At 43.0% G+C, this 20,044-nt stretch overlaps 3 protein-coding genes and 1 long non-coding RNA gene across 15 annotated transcripts in view, besides 4 other annotated features; 2 read left to right on the forward strand and 2 right to left on the reverse strand.

Annotated features, from left to right (window-relative positions):
• Positions 1–4,200, reverse strand: part of SPATA6L (spermatogenesis associated 6 like) — a 77,660-nt gene extending 73,460 nt beyond the window's left edge. For 7 of the 10 annotated variants that reach the window (NR_148445.2, NR_148443.2, NR_148446.2 and 4 more), the window contains exon 1: positions 3,932–4,200. Coding sequence is in view for 5 of the 10 variants with exons in the window: in NM_001353486.2 (NP_001340415.1) it covers positions 3,932–3,970 (39 nt within the window). In the remaining 5 variants the exon portion in view is untranslated. The remainder of the gene's footprint in view (positions 1–3,931) is intronic. The other 3 variants (NM_001039395.4, NM_001353484.2, NR_148444.2) reach the window with 2 other exon arrangements.
• On the forward strand, positions 14–2,978 carry PLPP6 (phospholipid phosphatase 6). The gene has a single exon (NM_203453.5). It carries the CDS (start codon positions 96–98, stop codon positions 981–983), a length of 888 nt encoding a protein of 295 aa, NP_982278.3. The 5' UTR covers positions 14–95; the 3' UTR covers positions 984–2,978.
• Positions 149–408: a silencer, noted in NCBI's record as "silent region_19743". NCBI's record gives its function as "represses an Ori minimal core promoter by ATAC-STARR-seq in GM12878 lymphoblastoid cells {active_cell/tissue: GM12878}" and the evidence as "EXISTENCE:reporter gene assay evidence [ECO:0000049][PMID:35858748]".
• Positions 3,989–4,038: a silencer, noted in NCBI's record as "silent region_19744". NCBI's record gives its function as "represses an Ori minimal core promoter by ATAC-STARR-seq in GM12878 lymphoblastoid cells {active_cell/tissue: GM12878}" and the evidence as "EXISTENCE:reporter gene assay evidence [ECO:0000049][PMID:35858748]".
• Positions 4,049–4,128: a silencer, noted in NCBI's record as "silent region_19745". NCBI's record gives its function as "represses an Ori minimal core promoter by ATAC-STARR-seq in GM12878 lymphoblastoid cells {active_cell/tissue: GM12878}" and the evidence as "EXISTENCE:reporter gene assay evidence [ECO:0000049][PMID:35858748]".
• Positions 14,320–17,200, reverse strand: CDC37L1-DT (CDC37L1 divergent transcript). Of its 2 annotated transcripts, none has more exons than NR_121598.1 (2): positions 17,107–17,200; positions 14,320–14,469 (listed from the first exon to the last, which is right to left on the reverse strand). It is a non-coding gene; the product is annotated as a CDC37L1 divergent transcript (long non-coding RNA). The 2 variants fall into 2 exon arrangements; NR_121597.1 differs by having other exon boundaries at positions 17,029–17,200.
• Positions 17,201–17,288: 88 nt separating this feature from the next.
• Positions 17,289–20,044, forward strand: part of CDC37L1 (cell division cycle 37 like 1, HSP90 cochaperone) — a 28,831-nt gene continuing 26,075 nt past the window's right edge. For both annotated transcript variants that reach the window (NM_017913.4, XM_047423583.1), the window contains exon 1: positions 17,289–17,619. In NM_017913.4, the coding sequence (NP_060383.2) occupies positions 17,488–17,619 (132 nt within the window). In that variant the 5' untranslated portion in view covers positions 17,289–17,487. The remainder of the gene's footprint in view (positions 17,620–20,044) is intronic.
• Positions 17,423–17,512: an enhancer, noted in NCBI's record as "active region_28148". NCBI's record gives its function as "activates an Ori minimal core promoter by ATAC-STARR-seq in GM12878 lymphoblastoid cells {active_cell/tissue: GM12878}" and the evidence as "EXISTENCE:reporter gene assay evidence [ECO:0000049][PMID:35858748]".

Raw genomic sequence — 20,044 nt, forward strand, 5'->3', positions numbered from 1 at the left:
CCTCCGGGATGGTAGTGCGGAAGCGGAAGAGGCTGCAGGGCCGGGAAGCCTCTGTTTGGTCCGGCCAGGTCCCGGGATCCGGGCCGCCAGCTGCGATGCCAAGTCCCCGGAGGAGCATGGAGGGACGGCCGCTGGGCGTCTCCGCTTCGAGCAGCAGCAGCAGCCCCGGCAGCCCAGCCCATGGCGGCGGTGGCGGCGGCAGCAGGTTTGAGTTCCAGTCCCTGCTCAGCAGCCGCGCCACGGCCGTGGACCCCACCTGCGCCCGGCTCCGTGCATCGGAGAGCCCAGTTCACCGCCGCGGCTCCTTCCCCCTGGCCGCGGCGGGCCCCTCGCAGTCGCCCGCGCCTCCGCTGCCCGAGGAGGACCGCATGGACTTGAACCCGTCCTTCCTGGGCATCGCCCTGCGCTCCCTGCTGGCCATCGACCTGTGGCTGTCCAAGAAGCTGGGGGTGTGCGCGGGAGAGAGCTCGTCGTGGGGCAGCGTGCGACCCCTTATGAAGCTGCTGGAGATCTCGGGACACGGCATCCCCTGGCTGCTGGGCACCCTCTACTGCCTGTGCAGGAGCGACAGCTGGGCCGGGCGCGAGGTGCTGATGAACCTGCTCTTCGCCCTGCTGTTGGACCTGCTGCTGGTGGCCTTGATCAAAGGGCTGGTCCGCAGGCGCCGCCCGGCCCACAACCAGATGGACATGTTTGTCACTCTCTCGGTGGACAAGTACTCCTTCCCCTCGGGCCATGCCACAAGGGCCGCCCTGATGTCGAGGTTCATCCTGAACCACCTGGTGCTGGCCATTCCACTGAGGGTGCTGGTGGTTCTGTGGGCCTTCGTCTTGGGCCTATCCAGGGTCATGCTGGGGCGGCACAATGTCACCGACGTAGCTTTTGGCTTTTTTCTGGGCTACATGCAGTACAGCATCGTGGACTATTGCTGGCTCTCACCCCATAATGCTCCGGTCCTCTTTTTACTGTGGAGTCAACGATGACACCATCTCATTGATTATGGCACCAGGAAGTCTGAAGGTTTCCACATTCGATGATGTCAACCTAAACCAGCAGCCATCCCGCTTGTCCCTCTTAGGCATTTCAGGCTTCCTTTGGGATTTCAGGTGTCCCATGATCTTGATGTGCTGCTAGGCTGGAGCACACACTGGCCATTACTGAACACAGCCATATTAGGGAAAGCAAAAAAACCCAAAAAATCCTCTATTGTATATTTATTCAACAACTGTTTATGTTTCCAGGACAACTGCAAAGAAAACAAGCTGAGGTGGTTATACTGTTGCTGTTAAAAGTTGGTATCAGTAAGATTTGTGTTTTGTGATAATCCCTAAATCAACATACCACTTGTAAACTGAACTTCGAGAAAGAAACATGATGTTCATTCTGTAAATATACATGCAGACAGGTCATGTACTAATCCTAGTCCTTTTCCTGAGGTAGATTTTAAACAGTATTTTTAAAGTCCAAGACATAGGTTTTTCTAGTTTATTCCCTGAAGATCTGTTGCCACAGTTGGGAGATTTCTTCTTAATCCTGATTTTCTTGGTAAGCTTTTTTACTTTATTATCTCTATAATTTATTATCTCTATCCATATTTGTGGATCGGGTAGTGGGAAAAGAGATTATAATACTTGTCTTTCTCTCCTCTCCCTCCATCCCTCAAAAGATCTTTATGCATTTCCCACTACTCCCTTACTGTCTTTTAGCATTCAGAGAAAAAGCCAACTTGCTTAAAGAGGAATCACTTAAAAGGTAGGCATATCTAAGATGCTCATAGAAGAGGAAGAATGGGACATGGCCCCATGCTTATTTTTGTTTACAACGTAACATGGCATGAGAGAGGGCAGAGAAACTAAGTTGCTGGGGAAAGTTAGAGGAACTGAAAGTTTGGGAATAGGCTGACCACATATTATGCCAGTGACCAGTATGACAGGAGATGGGGCCCTGCTGCCAGTCATCTCCACTGAATAAAGAATAATGCTCCTCTTTCAGGGTAATAAAGTGGGGAAAAGGAACGTCTTCTCAATGCAAGAACATAAGCTTTCTCGTATATACCTGTATGCTACAGTTTTTCACATGGAATTCCGTTTTCTGAGGTACAGCACATTTTAGGTAACAGTATTTAACTTGAAATTCATCATGGGAGTCTGCTGCTATACCAGGCACAAGATAAAACTCCAAAATTTCTGTTTACATTGACCTTTACATTTAAAGCTGTTCATCCATGGTGCCTCCCCAAATCATAAGACCAAAGACCACCAAACGCAGGGTGGACTCTGCTCATTATTCTTTGACCCAGAAAGACTGGAGAAGGTATGTGCTTTAAGTGCTGCTCTACCTGAAAAGAAATCCTTTAAATTACCTATGGAAGTGATGTCCTCAGATAATCTTAATGACTATTTTGGCATTTATAAATAGAAATGATTATGGACTTTGATCTGCCATACGGAGGTTCGGAACCTGGAGAACGGCTGTGATAAGTAGGTTTTGATTGAGTGAAAGCATGAGCTTGTTCAGAGTGAGGGGCATAGTGAAAAAGGAACAGCCATGCCTCAAAATCAAATCATTTGCATTCCCACAGCATCCTGAATACCGACTACCTCTTCACTTGCTAAAGCAGCTAAACTGTGAAGCTCTAAGTGGTTTGGGTTTGTTGTTTAACCTTAGCGAGATCCTTTAACTGCAGCAATATTCAAGCCAGATATTTGGAAGCAAATGATATTTCCTCTTGCAGTGTCCACAAATCTGAATATTAGGGGCATGAAATTAGGCTTACCATCTGATTTGTAATTACAATTTTGGAATTCTCTGTTTTAGTTGCTGAGGCCTGAGTTTTCTGGCTCTTAAAGCATAGATCATTTCACCTGATGTTTTTGAAGCATCCTAAGTACAGTAGAGTAGAAAACTGATTTCTTTGTTAATTGTACACTGAATAATGCCTTTTAAAAATCAAAATAAAATTAACAAATAATGGTGAATGAAGTGAGATGAAAACTTGCTTAATTTTTGCCTTGATGAGGAGGGAGACAGATTTATCACTTAGCTTCTCAAGAGTTCCTTCTTCCTGCACAATTTTTAGAGCTTAAAACTGGTATAGCACTACTAATAAGGTCTAGCCCTATTTGCTGTCAGCAAAGTGGGACAAATCCAGGAAATGTTGATCACCTTTCACACCCACATGTATGATGAAACCACACCATTTGCCAATTGTATGGAAGACAACCAGATTCCATGACAATTTCCTGTTAGCACTGTGCTTGTAATCATAGCCAGTAGAAAAGCCCCTAGAGGAAAAGCGGCATGATATTCTGTTACTAACTACATGGAAGGATTGGAAAATGGAAACTGAAATAAGAGGGAGTGACAGACCCCCAAGTAGAAACCATGGAGTCACTCTGCCACAGCACTTCACTTAGGAAGGATTTGGTAATTACGAAATAGTGATTGATTGATTTCCCTTTTGGAATTAGCAAGCCAGAGCTATCACTAAGGGGAAATATCATAGAAAATATCTGATTGGTTCATAGAGTTGGCAAATAATCAGGAAGTGATGGAGCTTTTTAAAATTATTCCCTGGTTATTTAAAGAAGTTGAAAATCCTTTCACAAATCTTTATCCAGGAGAAGAAAATAAATTCTACCTGGACTTAATGCAGGGTTGTTTGAAAAGAAATTAAAAATTCATGATAAAGATAAGAAACATGTTAGCTTTAGAACAGAAAAAAAAAAAAGTGGGAACAGGTGGAGCTGAATTAAAGGTTAGGAAGTCAGGGAAAACCAATATGGAGAAAAAGACAAAGGTGCGATCTGTCCCAGAAGATAATGATGTGTTTGTGGTAAGTGGGGGATGTGGGGGAGGGTTGTTGAAAACCACCTGAGACTATTTAGAGTCCGACTTGAGGTTAAGGAGGGGGAGTTCATCGATCTCTTACCGCCCGGATCTGCAGCTCCACCACCACCTCCAGAGGCATCGTTCCCTGCGTGGGCGAAAGGACTGGAATGAGAAGATCCTTTTGTGCCGAGCCTTGGACCAATTTTTCTTAGTTTAGCTGAATACCTAGAGCAAATGTTCCCAGAAGCTTCCCCAGTCCCACGCCCTTGTTCCCCTACCGTCCCCCCCAGCCCAGGTCCCTCCCACCGGGACGGGTCTCTCACACTCGAAGCTGGAGTGCAGGCTTCCAGAAGGCGGAAGCGTGGCGTTGCCAGGGACACTCAAACGCGCAGTCTTCATCGTGGAACGCGCGCGAGGCCCCAGCGCAGACGCGCGCCCTCACGGTCGCTGTTGCCCACGCAGTGCCCCCAGCCGGAGAGACTGGCCCTGTCTGGCGTGCTAGACGGATAGAGAAATGCTAACAATCCCGATCTTCTTTCCATCAGCTCCTGCTATCCCCAATTACCATGTCAGAATGTTTACCGTTTTCATTCTGAAAGTAGAATGAGATCATAGGTCTGTTATAATTTAAATAGTACACGTTTAGTAGCTGCACGACCCCAAGCCTTGTAGTTTCTGTAACAATTCTCATTTAATATAGTTGCCTGTTCCTAAAAATACTCTTTTGCTTATTAAATGTTATGTTTGCTTCGGAAAACATGGCCACCGTCAATAACAAACGTGTGCTAATTAGAAATATAAGGTTAATTCTTAAACATATTTAAAAGTTAGGTATCCCCTGTTAGCAGCAATAGAAATATGTCAGTCTTTCCATAACGGTGTCCAGCCTTTTCTGGGGTTTAGTTTAAGGCAAGCATTGAGTAGTCCAATGGGTAGTTATTGCATTTGCCAAAACCACAGTTACTGTAAACACTGTCAGAGGTGGTGCGCAGAGCAAGAGTTCTGAATGAGTAGGGGACATTCACTACATCTAATAGAGAAAAATGAAGGAAAGGAGCAGGTAGTGGCTCCTTCTAGCAATCCAAAAAATCTAGGAAGGCCAATGCTGCCTCTGAAAAAAAAATTTTAAATCCTAAATTATGTTCAGTCATTTATTACTAATATTTTGCATTAGAGAGTTATACAATTGGAAATAGTGCAGAAGGATGGTCAAGACAAGATTGGGTATTCATTTTGGTAACTGGAGTTTATTTCCCTGGAAGGGAAAAACTTGGTATGATGAAGAAGGGCATATTGTATCCTTATCCAGTTCCTAGTGCTGTGTCTCTCTGCATATCAAGAGATACAGGTGGGCACCTAACTATCTATAGTGTCCAGATCATTGATTTGTCACTCACAACTTGCTGACACCCAGAGTGATGTGGGACAGGACCTGTGATGATCCTAACAGGTAGGTCACCAACACCAATGCTAAGAAATCAAGGAGAGTGACAAGCAAAACAAATTAATAAATAGCCAGAGTTGTATTGGGAGAGAAGAATCAGTCTTTACTGAGGATCTGCAAAGTGCTAGGCACATTGCGTATGCTAATTCATCTCAACCCTACAATAACTCTATCAGGGAGATATTATCCCTATTTTACAGATGCAGAATCTGAAGCTAGACAGCCTTTTACTAAAAGCCACAGACCTAATAAGGGAGCAGCCACATTTGAATCCAGGTGTGCCCTACCACATCACTGGGTCTGCAATATAGACATCCTGTTGATCTCTAGAGACACAATGTTCCATTCTATGCTCTTCTTAGTCTTAACTCTTGATCTAACTGGACTCTCCTTGCTTGGCTGCTAGGGCACAGCTCTCTTCTGGTTTCCCTCCAACTTTCTGGCTATTCTTTCTTTGTCTGTTTATCCTCCTCTGGCTAAGCAATGTTTCTAGGTCCTTTCCTTTCCTCACTCTATACCCTTTACTTAGAGTGTCATCCATTGCAGACATTGATTAACACATGTATACAGATTTACATACCCCACCAAGACCTCTCTTCTGCTGACAAGGTGGAATCTCAATATCATATCTTATGTCATACATATAAATATATATATCTCCTCTTTGTAGCGACTGCCATAATAGCAGTTTTACATTTGTTCCTGTGACTCTTGATTACTATTTGTCTCCTTAATCTGTAAACTCTGCATGGCTAAGCGTTTATACCCTAAATAGGATAGAAGATAATAAATATTTTTGAATATTAAATGCAGAGATGGTCAAGCCAATCTGTGGGGGTTAATGTACATGGATAAAGAGAGGTCCCATCACAATGGGTAAAAGAAATCTGCAGAATTAGAAAGGACCAGGCACAGCTACTTCTGCAAATCTGCTATGGTGATATTAAATGAGTTGATGGGGATACTTCACACTCTCCTAATTGTCCCCGCCATGGTTACCTGAGGCTCTCAGCTGCTGTGGAGATGTGGCAGTTGCTATACACACCCAGTCCCTCTCACTCATCTTGCAAAGTTATTTATCATTGAGGCTGTCCACCTCTGCCGGGGGCCAACAAAGCCTTTTAAGGATTGGACTGTCACCACTTCAAGAGAAAGCCTTTATTACCTGGGTAGGTACCTCTTGGTGGCAGCAAACAGATTTCAATGAACAACTGCTATTTCCAGAGAGTATCTGCAGTGCAGCTTGGCCAGCAGTGACATCAGCATTGCAGAAATGATACAGCAGCACATCCCGTTCACATCCTGGCCCCAGACAAGAAAATGAAACATGCCCCAAATGGGGATTTTCCAAAGAGTAAATTAACAAAGAACAAGAATATGACAGATAATTATGGCTGAGATTTTTTTTTAACTAAAAAAATTAATTATAAGACAAAAATCATAAATATTTCAAATAATAAGTGTATTCATATGAAAGGAAGAAACTATTAAAGAGACAGCACTAGTGGGAAGGGTATGGGAAAACACATTGATGGGAGTGTAAATACATACAATGTATTCATTTCCTATGGCTGCTTAACAAATTTAGGGGCTTAAAGCAAGACAAATTTATTATTTAATTTTGTGAGAAGTCCAACACAGATCTCAATGGGCTAAAATCAAGGTGCCTGCAGGGCTGCATTCCTTGCCTTTCTGTTTCCTTGCTTTTCTGGAGGTTGCTCGTATTCCTTGGCTTAAAGTTTCCTTCTTTCATGTTCAAAACTGGCTACATAGAGCCAAGTCCTTCTCATGCTGCCATCTCTCTGGTTCTCCCTTTTTTTTTTTTTTTTTTTTTTTTTTTGAGACAGAGTCTCGCTCTGTCACCCAGACTGGAGTGCAGTGGTGCGATCTCAGCTCACTGCAACCTCCGCCTCCCAGGTTTAAGCCATTCTTCTGCCTCAGCCTCCCGAGTAGCTGGGAGTACAGGCACGCACCACCATGCCCAGCTAATTTTTGTATTTTTAGTAGAGACAGGGTTTCATCATATTGGCCAGGCTGGTCCTGAACTCCCGTTCTTGAGTAATACACCTGCCTCGGCCTCCCAAAGTGCTGGGATTACAGGCATGAGCCACCATGCTTGGCCTCCCTTTCACTTTTAAGGACCTTTGTGATTGCACCTTTGTGAAACACCCAGATAATCCAGGATAATTTCCCTAATTTAAGGTCAGCTGATCAGCAACCTTAATTCCATCTACAACCTTAATTTCCCCTTTACCATGTAAGGTAACATATGCACAGGTTCCAGGGATTAGGATGTGGATATCTTTGGGGGCCATTATTCTGCCTACCACATATAACTTATCTGGAGAGCAATTTGATAATGTCTATCAGAATGTTTAATTTGACTCAGCAATTCTGCTAAGAATTTATCCCATGGGTATACTTTCACAAAAACATATGGTGCACAATTATTTCTAGTTGAAAAAATGCTGGAAACCAACTAAATGTTCATTAGGTAGGATCAGATGAAATCAGTTATGGTTTAGCCATATGATGGAATATTATGCAGCATGGAAAAAGAATGAGGCAGACAGAGCTATATATTCTAATAGTAAATAGTCTCTAAAATATAGAGCCAAGAAAAAAAAGGCATAAAAAATGTATACAATGTGCTGCCATTTGGGAGAGAAGGAGAATATTGTATCTACATATATGCTTAGAATATCCCTGAAAAGATATGCTAGAAGCTGCTATTAATGTAATGTGTGCCTCTGGGGAGGGACCTGGGGTAGGGAAGCAGAGAGGAAGTTATTTTTCATTGAATATCTATAGGTCCTTAAAAAATATATTTTTGCCAAGTACTTGCATTATTTAATCCAAAAAGGAAACCACATTAAAACAAGTAGAAAATGTAAAATAATAGAAAGGATTGGTCTGGGAATATAGAAAGGAGCAGGAACTGGCTTCTTCAGCTTTTGGAGCTATATCCTATATACTGCATGCCATAAAAATATCCATGCAAGTGTGTTTGCCACTTCCGCTTCCAGTGCAGGGCTTCTTATCCTGTGATTCCTGGCTATCTCAGGGGTCTTAAACCTCCTGAAATGGTAGGCAGCATTTCCTACATGTGCATATATGCATTTTTCCAGGAAAAGAGTCTGTGGCTTTCATAATCTGAAAGGGGAAATGTTAGTCAAGTCAGGTTTTACAGCACTGTTCAGTGCATGCTGACTCCTCTTCCTGCCAGCGGTTCCCCATCTACAGCAAAAAGAAAGGCTACCTGGGTTGTCAGACAAGGCGGCAGGTAAGAAAAGAGGGCCTGTTCTCTCCGTCACACCCACACTCCCTTATTAGAGCAAAAGGACAGCTGTATTTCATAATAAGTGATTAAAAAAAGACCCTCAAAGTCCTGTTGTAAGCCATTTGTTTATATCTGGACTCAACAGACTTCATTTGTCAGGCCCTCCAATCTTTTGAGCAGTGAATTATTCATTAGCAAGTATGAATAACACCAGCAGATTGAGTTTCCAAAGTGAGTTAGTCATTTGCATTTGTAAGAAATGCCTGAAAAGGAAGAAACACAAAAACGAAAAAACACCCAAGAACATGAAATGATCTGGATTATTTCAGTAGTAGTGCATTTCCAGGTCAATGATTTTTTATTTCTTTTAAAGCATGGGCCCAGTCTCAAGACCCAAGAAATAATTGTCTTATATTTGGCCTTCTCCAAAGTCTTTCTCTAAAATGTTCTGTAATAGTTTAGTTTTCTCAAACTCTGATATACAGAGAAGAAAGTTTTACCTTTCTCACTTTTGTATGTATGAGAAAGCTCAATGAACTACACTGAGTTCTTTCCTTGATTCTAACAAACTGCCTAAAGATGAAGTATAGCAGGGTGCAGTGGCTCACGCCTGTAATCCCAGCACTTCGGGAGGCTGAGGTGGGCGGATCACCTGAGGTCAGGAGTTTGAGACCAACCTGGACAACAAGTGAAACCCTGCCTCTACTAAAAATACAGAAATTAGTGGGGTGTGGTGGCACACGCCTGTAATCCCAGCTACTTGGGAGGCTGAGGCAGGATAATCGCTTAAACCCAGGAGATAGAGTTTGCAGTGAGCTGAGATCGCGCCACTGCACTCCACCCTGGGCAACAGAGCGAGACTCCATCTCAAAAAATAAATAAATAAATAAAAAAGATGAAGTGTGTATATACATATATACATACATATATATGCACACATACATATATACATACATACATATATACACATATATAATTTATATATATTAATGTTAATATCCTGTAGGCAAACTTTACATTAGCAGAATCTGGCTGTCACCATATGAACTCACTGATCAATTCCAGCCCCACTCTGCATCATTATAGGTACATTATATGCTTCCCTATATGATTCATAGGAAGTACCTATGAAGCACATTTACCAAGAAAGTTGTAGTTGAATCTAATCAACTACACTGAGTGTTGCACTGTCTGATGATAAAAATATGGTAGCCATTTATAGCTATCTAACTGAACTAAAACTAAATACATTTATTTATTTATTTATTTAGAGATGGAGTCTCGCTCTTGTCACCCAGGCTGGGGTGCAGTGGCACAATCTTGGCTGACTGCAACCTCTGCCTACTGGGTTCAAGCAATTCTCCTGCCTCAGTCTCCTGAGTAGCTGGGTTTACAGGCATCCGCCGCCACACCCAGCTAATTTTTTGTGTTTTTAGTAGAGATGGGGTGTTGCCATGTTGGCCAGGCTGGTCTCGAACTTCTGACCTCAGGTGATCCGCCCGCCTCAGCCTCCCAAAGTGCTAGGATTACAGGTGTGAGCCACCGTGCCCGGCCAACTAAATACATTTAAAATCCAGTTCCTCATTGCATTAGTCACATTTAAAGCACACATACCCATATGTTGCCAGTGGCTACTGGTATTAGGTAATGCAGGCAGAATATTTTTATCATCACAGAAAGTTCTAATGGGCAGCATTGCTCTAGAGTTAACTTCACTTAAAGGAAATATGGAGGATAGAAAAACATGTTAATGACAACAAAAGGAAGCAGGCAGACATATTTATAACAGAACATGGGACATTCCAGCACATACGTGCAGTCCCAGCTACCTGAGAGGCTGAGGTGGGAGGATCATCTGAGCCTGGGTGGTTGAGGCTGCAGTGAGCCATGATTGTGCCATGCACTCCAGCCTGGTCCACAGAGTGAGACCTTGTCTCAATAAATAAATAAGTAAACAAACAAACAAATAAATAAATAGAGCCTGGCGCAGTGGCTCACGCCTGTAATCCCAACACTTTGGGAGGCCGAGGCAGGTGAATCACCTGAGGTCGGGAGTTCGAGATCAGCCTGACCAACATGGAGAAACCCTGTCTCTACTAAAAATGCAAAAAACTTAGCCGGGCATGGTGGTACATGTCTGTAATTCCAGCTACTCGGGAGGCTGAGGCAGAAGAATCACTTGAACCTGGGAGGCAGAAGTTGCGGTGAGCTGAGATCGTGCCATTGCACTCCAGCCTGGGCAACAAGAGTGAAACTCTGTCTATAAATAAATGAATAAATAGAATCTGGGACATTCTATAGGACCCCTAACCCAGTTAATCTGCAATAAGTCAATGGCATTTAAAAAAAAAAAAAAAAAGGAAGAGGTGAGGGAACTGATTTAGATTAAAAGATACTTAAGAGACCTCACAACCAAATGGAATATGTGGACTTTGTTGGGACATTAATTCAAACAAACCAAATGCAATATTTGAGACTATCAGGGAATTTTTTTTTTTTTTTTTTTGAGACAGAGTTTCACTCCTGTTACTCAGGCTGGAGTGCAATGGTGCACTCTTGGCTCATCTCAACCTCCGCCTCCTGGGTTCAAGTGATTCTCCTGCCTCAGCCTCCCGAGTAGATGGGATTACAGGCATGCACCACCATGCCCGGCTAATTTTTTGTAACTTTAGTAGAGACAGGGTTTCTCCACGTTGGTCAGGCTAGTCTCCAAATCCTGACCTCAGTTGATCTGCCCGCGTTGGCCTCCCAAAGTGCTGGGATTACAGGCATGAGCCACTATGCCCAGCCTATCAGGGAAATTTGTTTATGGTTTGGACATTAGATAACACCAAGCAATTAATTTTTATATACATGATAAATGGGCATTATATATATATGATAATGCCCTTGTGTTTATGTAAGGCAAATATTAACATTGTTTAGAGACATATATTAAGGTATGCAGTGGTAAAATGATTTAATGTCTAAGATTTTGCTTTTAAGTATTCCAGTCAATGAATAAAAGGAATAGATAAAGCAAATGTTGTAAAATCTTGATAATTATTGACTGTGGGTGATGGATGAATGGGGTTTCTGTAATTTTATTCTTTTTTGTGTTAAAAAGATACTCACAATAGGCTGGGCATGGTGGCTGACACCTGTAATCCCAGTGCTTTGTGAGGCAGAGGCCAGAGGATTGCTTGAGGTCAGGAGTTCAAGACCAGCCTGGACAACATAGAGAGAACCCATGTCTACATTAAAAAAAAATTAGGTGGGCATAGCAGCATGCACTCGTAGTCCTAGCTACTCAGGAGGCTGAGGTGGGAGGATCCCTTGAGCCCAGATGTTGGAAGCTGCAGTGTGCTATCATCTTGCTACTGCACTCCAGCCTGTGTGACAGAGCACAATCTTGCTCTTAAAAAAAATCATAATAACAATTTAAAAAAACCTTTAACATATAAAATTCCCTTCAATATAAGTCTTACACATACTGAAAGAGAAAATGTAATGGATCTATTCACCTCAAATGCAGATGAGATGAGAAAATTATTGTGGTGTGTAATAATGCTTTACAAGTAATTCAGAGGGACATCCACTTAAAGGGGAAAAAGTAGCGCTGGTTGTTTTGCTTTTTTTTCTTTTTTCAGGCCGAGTCTAGCTCTGTTGCCCAGGCTGGAGTGCAATGGCACAATCTCGGCTCACTGCAAGCTCCGCCTCCCAGGTCCACGCCATTCTCCTGCCTCAGCCTCCCGAGTAGCTGGGACTACAGGCGACCACCACCATGCCCAGCTAATTTTTTGTATTTTTAGTAGAGACAGGGTTTCACTGTGTTAGCCAGGATGGTCTCGATCTCCTGACCTCATGATCCGCCTGCCTCAGCCTCCCAAAGTGCTGGGATTACAGGTGTGAGCCACTGCGCCTGGCCAGCGCTGTATTATAATAGTGATCTCTGCATGAATATCCAAAACAGGAGCTGGCAATTTGAGTATTTCTTTACATATACACACTTCTCAAGAATTTTCCAGGAATCTTCCAAGGAAGGAATCAAATTGCAATTGCACAGCTTTTAACAATCTTGAAGTCATTTGGGATGTGGACCCACACATGGGTTCTGTTTCACCCAACTTTATTAGAGTTTATGAGTCAGACTCATGTTTCTCTTTGGCTTGTGCTTTCATTTACTGGCATTTGTAGGCTCAATGCTTACATAATGATGCAACACAAGTCCTTCCACAAGGGCTGCCCTTGGGCTTTTTGGACTACATAGTCTTTCCATTTAAAAGTAATTTCTACTCAGAAAAAAACCTAATTTGCTCCTTTGAGTTTCAGCTGGCTAGCTCTATGTCCATGGGAGTAATAGGCAAATTATGACCCAAAGCAATTTCCAAGGAATTTTATTTATTATCCAAAATAAGAAAGTAGAAGTGTATGATTAAGTTCCAAGACTTGTTTAAAAAGTGTCTACTGGAGCTGGGCGTGGTGGTACATGCCTGTAATCCCAGCCACTTGAGAGGCCGAAGCAGGAGGATCTCTTGAGCCCAGGAGTTTGAGACCGACCTAGGTAACATAGCAAGAACTGTTTCCAAAAATAAGTGTTTACTATGCCAGGGCACAGGATTCAGATCCTGAAGTCAGCAATGGCTCAAGATGAGGCTACTTCTGATATCATTATATCCACTCCTTATCTCCTACCAAAATATACTTCTTTCTATTCCTTTTTCACCACCTTCTGCCTTTATTTAACCTTTTCTTTTATCCTTGTTTCCATTCATTCATTCTCTATCCATTTATTCAGCCCACATTTATTGAGTGTCTACTGTAAGCCAGGTATTGTTCTGAGCCATGTAAGTACAAGAGTGAATAAGAAACAATCTGTGCTCTCATGGAGCTTACATTCTATTGGGGTAAGAAACATAATAACTAAGTGAACATAAAATAATAGTATGATGAATAGTAGAAAGGAAATATACAAGGTGGTAAAATAGAACAGGTTGAAGAAGAAACGAGAACTTCATTTAGACTCACTGGCCAGATTGGCCTAAGAGTATGAGATTTGGTCTAAGATCTAAGAAGAAAAGCATGACCACTAGCAAGCCTTTCAAAGTAAGAGAAAAGGCAAAGGGAATAGCAACTCGAAAGGGCCATGAGTTAGGAAAGGAACTGCCATGTTTGAGGAACTGAAAGGAGTCCAAGAGAGATTTTGGGGTGGGAGAGGGCAAGGAAGGTGTTAGGGAGAGGGTTTAAGAAACGACATTCAGGGCCGGGTGCAGTGGTGCACACCGGTAGTCTCAGCACTTTGGGAGGCCGAGGCGGACGGATCACCTGAGGTCAGGAGTTCGAGACCAGCCTGGCCAACATAGTAAAACCCCGTCTCTACTAAAAATACAAAAATCAGCTGGGTGTGGTGGTGCACATCTGTAATCCCAGCTACTCGGGAGGCTGAGGTAGGAGAATCGCTTGAACCCAGGAGGTGGAGGTTGCCGTGAGCTGAGATGGCGCCACTGCAGTCCATGCACTCCAGCCTGGGAGACAGAGCGAGACTCCATCTCAAAAAAAAAAAAGAAAGGAATGACACTCAGGAATTAGGGTGCCACTAGGTTTCACAGGAACTTTATCAATTATGGCAGAGAATGTGATTGCCTACCTTACTGCCACAAACTCTTCCTCCTTGCTAACAGAACTCCAGTTTTGTTTAGGTAGCAATGCATCCAGCTCCAGACAACAAATCATAATTTATGTAAGCCAGTTCTGGCCAATAAGATATAAGGATTTCACTAGAAGGTTTCGAGAAATATCTTTATTCTTCATATGAGAGCCACAAGTGAATAAAGCTGTTTTGCCTCCTTCTCTGTCTTCCTGCTTTAGCTTCTGCCATATTTTGATGTGATGTCCAGAGCTGTAGCAGCCATCCTGCAACCATGATGTAAGAAGCCTGAAGATGAAAGTAAACAGATTTAGGATGCTGGGGAGGAGGGATAGGGATTGAAAGAACCTGAATCTTCCTTTCCTTTTCCTTTCCTTCCCTTCCCTTCCCCTCCCCTCCCCTCCCCTCCTTTTCCTTTCCCTTCCTTTCCTTTCTTTCTTTTGCGACACAGTCTCGCTCTGTCACCCAGGTGGAGTACAATGCTGTGATCTCAGCTCACTGCAACCTCCACCTCCCGGGTAGCTGGGATTACAGGCATGCACCACCAGGTCTGCCTAATTTTTGTATTTTCAGTAGAGACGGGGTTTTGCCATGTTGGCCAGGCTAGTCTCGAACTCCTGGCCTCAAGTGATCCACCCGCCTTGGCCTCACAAAGTGCTGGGATTACAGGTGTAGGCTACCACGCCTGGCCTGAACCTGAATATTTAATGACATCTTCAAACTGCTAAGCCTATCCTGGGATCATTCTTTTTGTTACATACACAATAAATGTCCTTATAGTTTAGGTTTCTTTTAGCTGAGGTTTCAGTTATTTGCATTGAAAGCATATAATTGATATAGCAGGGGTGAGACATGATATGATTTATGTATTTTTTAAAAATCTCTCTGGCAACAGTATGAAGAGATTGTAAGGAGCAAGAATGGAACAGAAGCATGGAAGACTACTGCAGTAGTTCTGAGAAGCAATCATAGTGTTCTGGCCTAGGGAGTATGCAGTAAAGCAGGAAAGAACATAGATTCAAGATGTATTTGGGGGTAAAAACAGTAGGACTTGCTGTTGGTATGAGAGGTAAAGGAGAGGGAGGAACTAAGGCTGAACTCTAGGTTTTGGACTGGATGGTGATGCCATTGATTGACACGGAGAAGACCCAAAGAAGTTTGGGGAAGGCGGTGAGATCAAGGGTTTGGATGTGTTAAATTTAAGATGTGTATGAACCATTAAAATGAGATGACAAATCAGCGGGTAGACATGAGTCTGGAGCACAGGGGTAAGGTCAGGACTTGGATTTCAATTTGAGAATTATAGATACACAGATGTTATTTAAAGCCACAGGAATAAACAGGATTCTCCTCACTGGCCAAAATATGAGGAACTCTAAAGTTAGAGGTCAGCTAGAAGGGAAGAAGACTGAGGAGAAGTAGTGAAAGAGGTAGGAGAAAAACTAACAGCATTAGCGTTTATATAGGGCTTACTTTATGCCAGGCACTATTCAAAGCACTTTGTGGCTTCATGGAAGCAAAGAGAAAAATGTTTTTCTTTTCTTCCTCCCTTTCCAGTCTCTCCTGTGACTTTCACCCCTAAATTCAAAAGGTTTAGGTGCAAAAGTGATTCTCAGCTTTTATTTGTAATTAATTTTATAGTAATCTTGTACTGTTATAATCTTGTACTGTTATAATACTATAATTATAGTATACATTCATTGGAAAAATATTCAAACAGCACAGTACAGGGAAGCTAAATGTGGAAAGTAAAGATCCTCAGAAGCTTTCCTTCCTAGGCTCACCCACCAGAGGTAATCATTAACAGTTTCTTGCATATCCTCCAGGAATGTTCTGCGCAAACACACACACACACACACACACACACACACACACACACGGACGCAAACAAATACCATCCCTCTCTCTTCTCTCTCTGTATACGTACGCATATGTTTAATTCTGCAAGTTGCTTTGTTTAAAACTCAATACCTTTTGGAGGTATTTATATATCAGCATATTCAGATACAATTTACTTTTTTTAAAAAGGGTAATATGCCATTGTATTAATATTCCATACTTTAAGTTCCTCTATCGATGGACAATTAGAATGCTTTTTTTTTTCTTGCCACACACACACAAAAATTGCTGCCAGAAATCTTTGTAGTAAATCTTTGGATATTGGTGCAAAAATAATTGTTGCATACTTTCTTAGTGGTGAAATTGCTGAATCAATCCGCTCAAGCCTCTCATATTGTCAAATTACTCCTCCTAAAAGGTTATACTAATGACATTCTCACATCATTTCCTTACATCTTGGTACACATTTGGTATTAAGCGACTTCACAAGTTTGCCAGTCTAAACACATGGAAAAAAATGGCGTCATGTTGTTTTTATTTGGGTCTCTTTATGAGTAGGGCAGCAAGACCTGATTGTTAAACGTTCAAGTTTTGAAGTTAAACTCCCTGGGTCTGGATCCTACTTCTTCCTTGTAAAATGTGTGATCTCGGGCATGCTGGGTCTACTTCCTCGTCTCAAAAAAAGAGGATAAAGAGAGTACATATCTTTAGGCTTAAACAAGATACGCAGGCATACAGGAAGCCCTTCTTATGCGTTCGCTACTAGCGGTACTGATCCTAATTTTTTTGAAGCCGTGCCGGCTCCGGTACTTTATTTTTGGTGTGCTCCTCCAACCAACCAAGTTTCGCAGAATTCTGTTGTTGCCTGTAATTAGAAATGAGACGAAAATTGGCTCCGCTTGTTCAAAATTCTCCTCCCTCCGCCCCAACTCTGCCTTAGAATCACTGGTTTAAATGTCAATGTAAAGGAATGAGTTGCAATTTTTAAGCAACATGTAAAGTGCACACCTGGTCTGAGTACCTCCCGGCGGCCAGGACCCGCCGTTTTCGGTATAGGGAACACCAGATAACAATATATAACGCTACCTAACAAACGTTTCTCCACCCACAGCGCCATTAGCGGTTAGGTTTGCAGTGCCGAAGAGCTGCAAGAAAACGGGGCTTGAAACAGGAATACAATTGCAGATCCACCCACTACACGCAAAGGGCCCGGGACGCGCCTCCACAGCCCCGCCCCAACCGGAAGTGACGCACCGCGCCGACTATTTCTTCCGCCGTCCGCCGGTGGCGAGGCCCAGGCTGTCGCCGGGTGTGCAGCGGCGTCGCGGCCAGTAGAGGGATTCTGGGTAACGGCCCGGACCCCCGGCTGGGCTTCTGGCTCGGCGCAGCAGGTTCCATTCACGCCAAGTCTGTTGGCAGTGGCAGTTGTAGGGCCAAGGGCGGTTGTAGGACCCGGAGCAGCCGGACATGGAACAACCGTGGCCGCCTCCGGGACCCTGGAGCCTCCCTCGGGCCGAGGGTGAGGCTGAGGAAGAGAGTGACTTCGACGTGTTCCCCAGTTCTCCCCGCTGCCCGCAGCTGCCAGGCGGCGGCGCCCAGGTGAGAAGGGGCCTGCGTTCTGCGGAGGGATGGAGTGGTGCTGTCGCCAAACCCCTGGAATGCCGCGTCTCCCAGACCCTCTTCTACGCCTTTTTCTACGCCCACCTCACTGCCAGGGGCCGGGGACCTGGGACCTGACGCCTGATGCCATCCCACCCCTTTTATGGCATCTTCGGAGGGCAGACGGGGTGGCCATATATTACCAACCTCCACCTCCACGCACATGTTTTCTTTCGCCTTGGCTGATTCCTGTTCACTCTTGGAATACCTTCCTCCATCTCCCCTTCCTGACAGCACTCAGATTTGGGGCGGCTCATGCTGTAACATTGACCCTTTGTCCTCTTGTGAGAGGTTTTCCCCAAGCACTTTATTCTGTTAAAGGCTCTAGCATACTTGTGCACAGTTGCTAGGAACAGTGAATGATTGTAGTTCAGCATCACACTGAGTCCTGACAAAGATTTCACATGCGATTTTCACCGATGTTGACAACTGAGTAAATTCTTTAAATCTCGCTTTTGACGCTGGCGTACACCTCTCCCATTCGCGTGACCATCTTTGCCTTACTGTTTTGTTTTTTAGTTTTGCTTCACGTCATTCTCCAGTGAAAATATATACGCATATACTTGTGTTTTCCTTCAGACTTCTCTTAGGTTCCTGGTATTGTGTTTTCAATCCAGCATTCCTGCCTTCCTGCGACTGAAACGTATCCAAATGTGATATACTATTAAGGATTTTTCAGGGACCTATCTTAGGGGATACTTACATACTCGCATCACCTTGTCCTGTTTTTTTCTCCGAATCCGTGTGTGTTTTGGAAGTATATTTCAGAATCACAGACTAAACACTAATATATTCAATGGATCATAAGTGTCTGCCGCCTTCTTGCAAAATGGGGTTCCCAAGAGTGTAACAGATTTAATAGTAGTTTTCCTCTCAACTTATTTTGCTAGATGTTAATGAGAATGAGTTAAATTGCTTACCAGTAAGCGTGACATTATCAATCTTATGTCCAGCTAACAGGGTTAGTTGGCTTCACACAGAGAAAAATGCTGTTTCATAACCACTGTCTGTACTTTGGCCAGCTAAGTCACTGGGGAACTACAAGACATTTTTTAGGAGGACAGAATGAGAGTTGATGGGTCCATCATTAGTCACCCACTAATTTTGGATCACTAGTGTCATCTTTATATACAAAATGTATTATAAGCACATGATGTGCTAGGGAGGAAAGAAGAATGAACAGCAGATGCCATTGTCAATTTTGAAGGCATATGAAGAGAAAAAAGGGTGTCAAGAATTTCAGTGCATTGTGGTTGAATTACAGAAGTAATCTAGAGAAATATCTGTATGTTAATTTCTTACTTGTGCACTTCTAAATTTGTTTAGCTGGAAGAGATTTTAGAAGTGAGTAAGCTTATCTCTCTCATTAAAAGTGTTTTCCCTGAGGCCATGTAACTAGTTAGTGGCCAGGTTAAAACTAGAACCCACTTATGACTCCTAGTCCAGTATATTTTCCCACCTACTGCACTGCCCACCAGAGTTCGAGACCAGCCTGACCAACATGGAGAAACCCTGTCTCTACCAAAAATACAAAATCAGCCTGGTGTGGTGGCGCATGCCTGTGATCCCAGCTACTCGGGAGGCTGAGGCAGGAGAATTGTTGGAGGCAAAGGTTACAGTGAGCCGAGATCACACCATTGCATTCCAGCCTGGGCAACAAGAGCGAAACTCTTGTCTCAAAAAAAAAAATTTTTTTTGCAAACTGATTATTAATTCTGAGTTCATGTGTTTATTACAAACCTACTTATTGGTCTTACTGGCTTTAAGACTTAAATTTTTGGATTGGAATATTTGGAAAAAATAAAATGTTTAATTGATTAACATTTTATAATCCTAAAAAAAGCTTTGGCTTAATTTTATCAAATAAGGGGGATCTAGACTTCTTAATGTAGTATGTGATATGTAGTTCTTAGATCCAATTAATGTAAAGGCAGATCATGTTTAATGTCCCTCTAAAACTTCTGTATGGTCATGGATTAGAATGTGACCTAATATTTTATTTAATATCTGAATACATGTTGGATAGTTTGCCCAAATGGCCAAATGTTGTCTGGGTAGTTTGTGGAGAAATAAGACATACATTATTTTTAGAATTTTTCGATTTGAGAAAAGAATATTTGCTCCCAAATAATTTGAAAATGCAAGATAATTTCTATTTATCCATATTACCATATTACTTTTCTTGATATATTATCCTTTCTCTTTTTTTTTTTTTTTTTTTGAGGCAGTGTCTTGCTGTGTTGCCCAGGCTGGAGTGCAATGGCACGATATTGGCTCACCACAGCCTCCGCCTCCCAGGCTCATGTGATTCTCCTGCCTCAGCCTCCTGAGTAGCTGGGATTACAGGTGCCCACCACTGTGCCCA

The sequence above is a fragment of the Homo sapiens genome, chromosome 9 (assembly GCF_000001405.40).
Source record: "Homo sapiens chromosome 9, GRCh38.p14 Primary Assembly".
In the NCBI taxonomy this organism is placed as follows: Eukaryota; Metazoa; Chordata; class Mammalia; order Primates; family Hominidae; genus Homo; species Homo sapiens.

Coding starts and splice junctions, on each gene's coding strand:
- PLPP6 (NM_203453.5), top strand. CDS start 96: ATGCCAAGTCCCCGGAGGAGCATGGAGGGACGGCCGCTGGGCGTCTCC.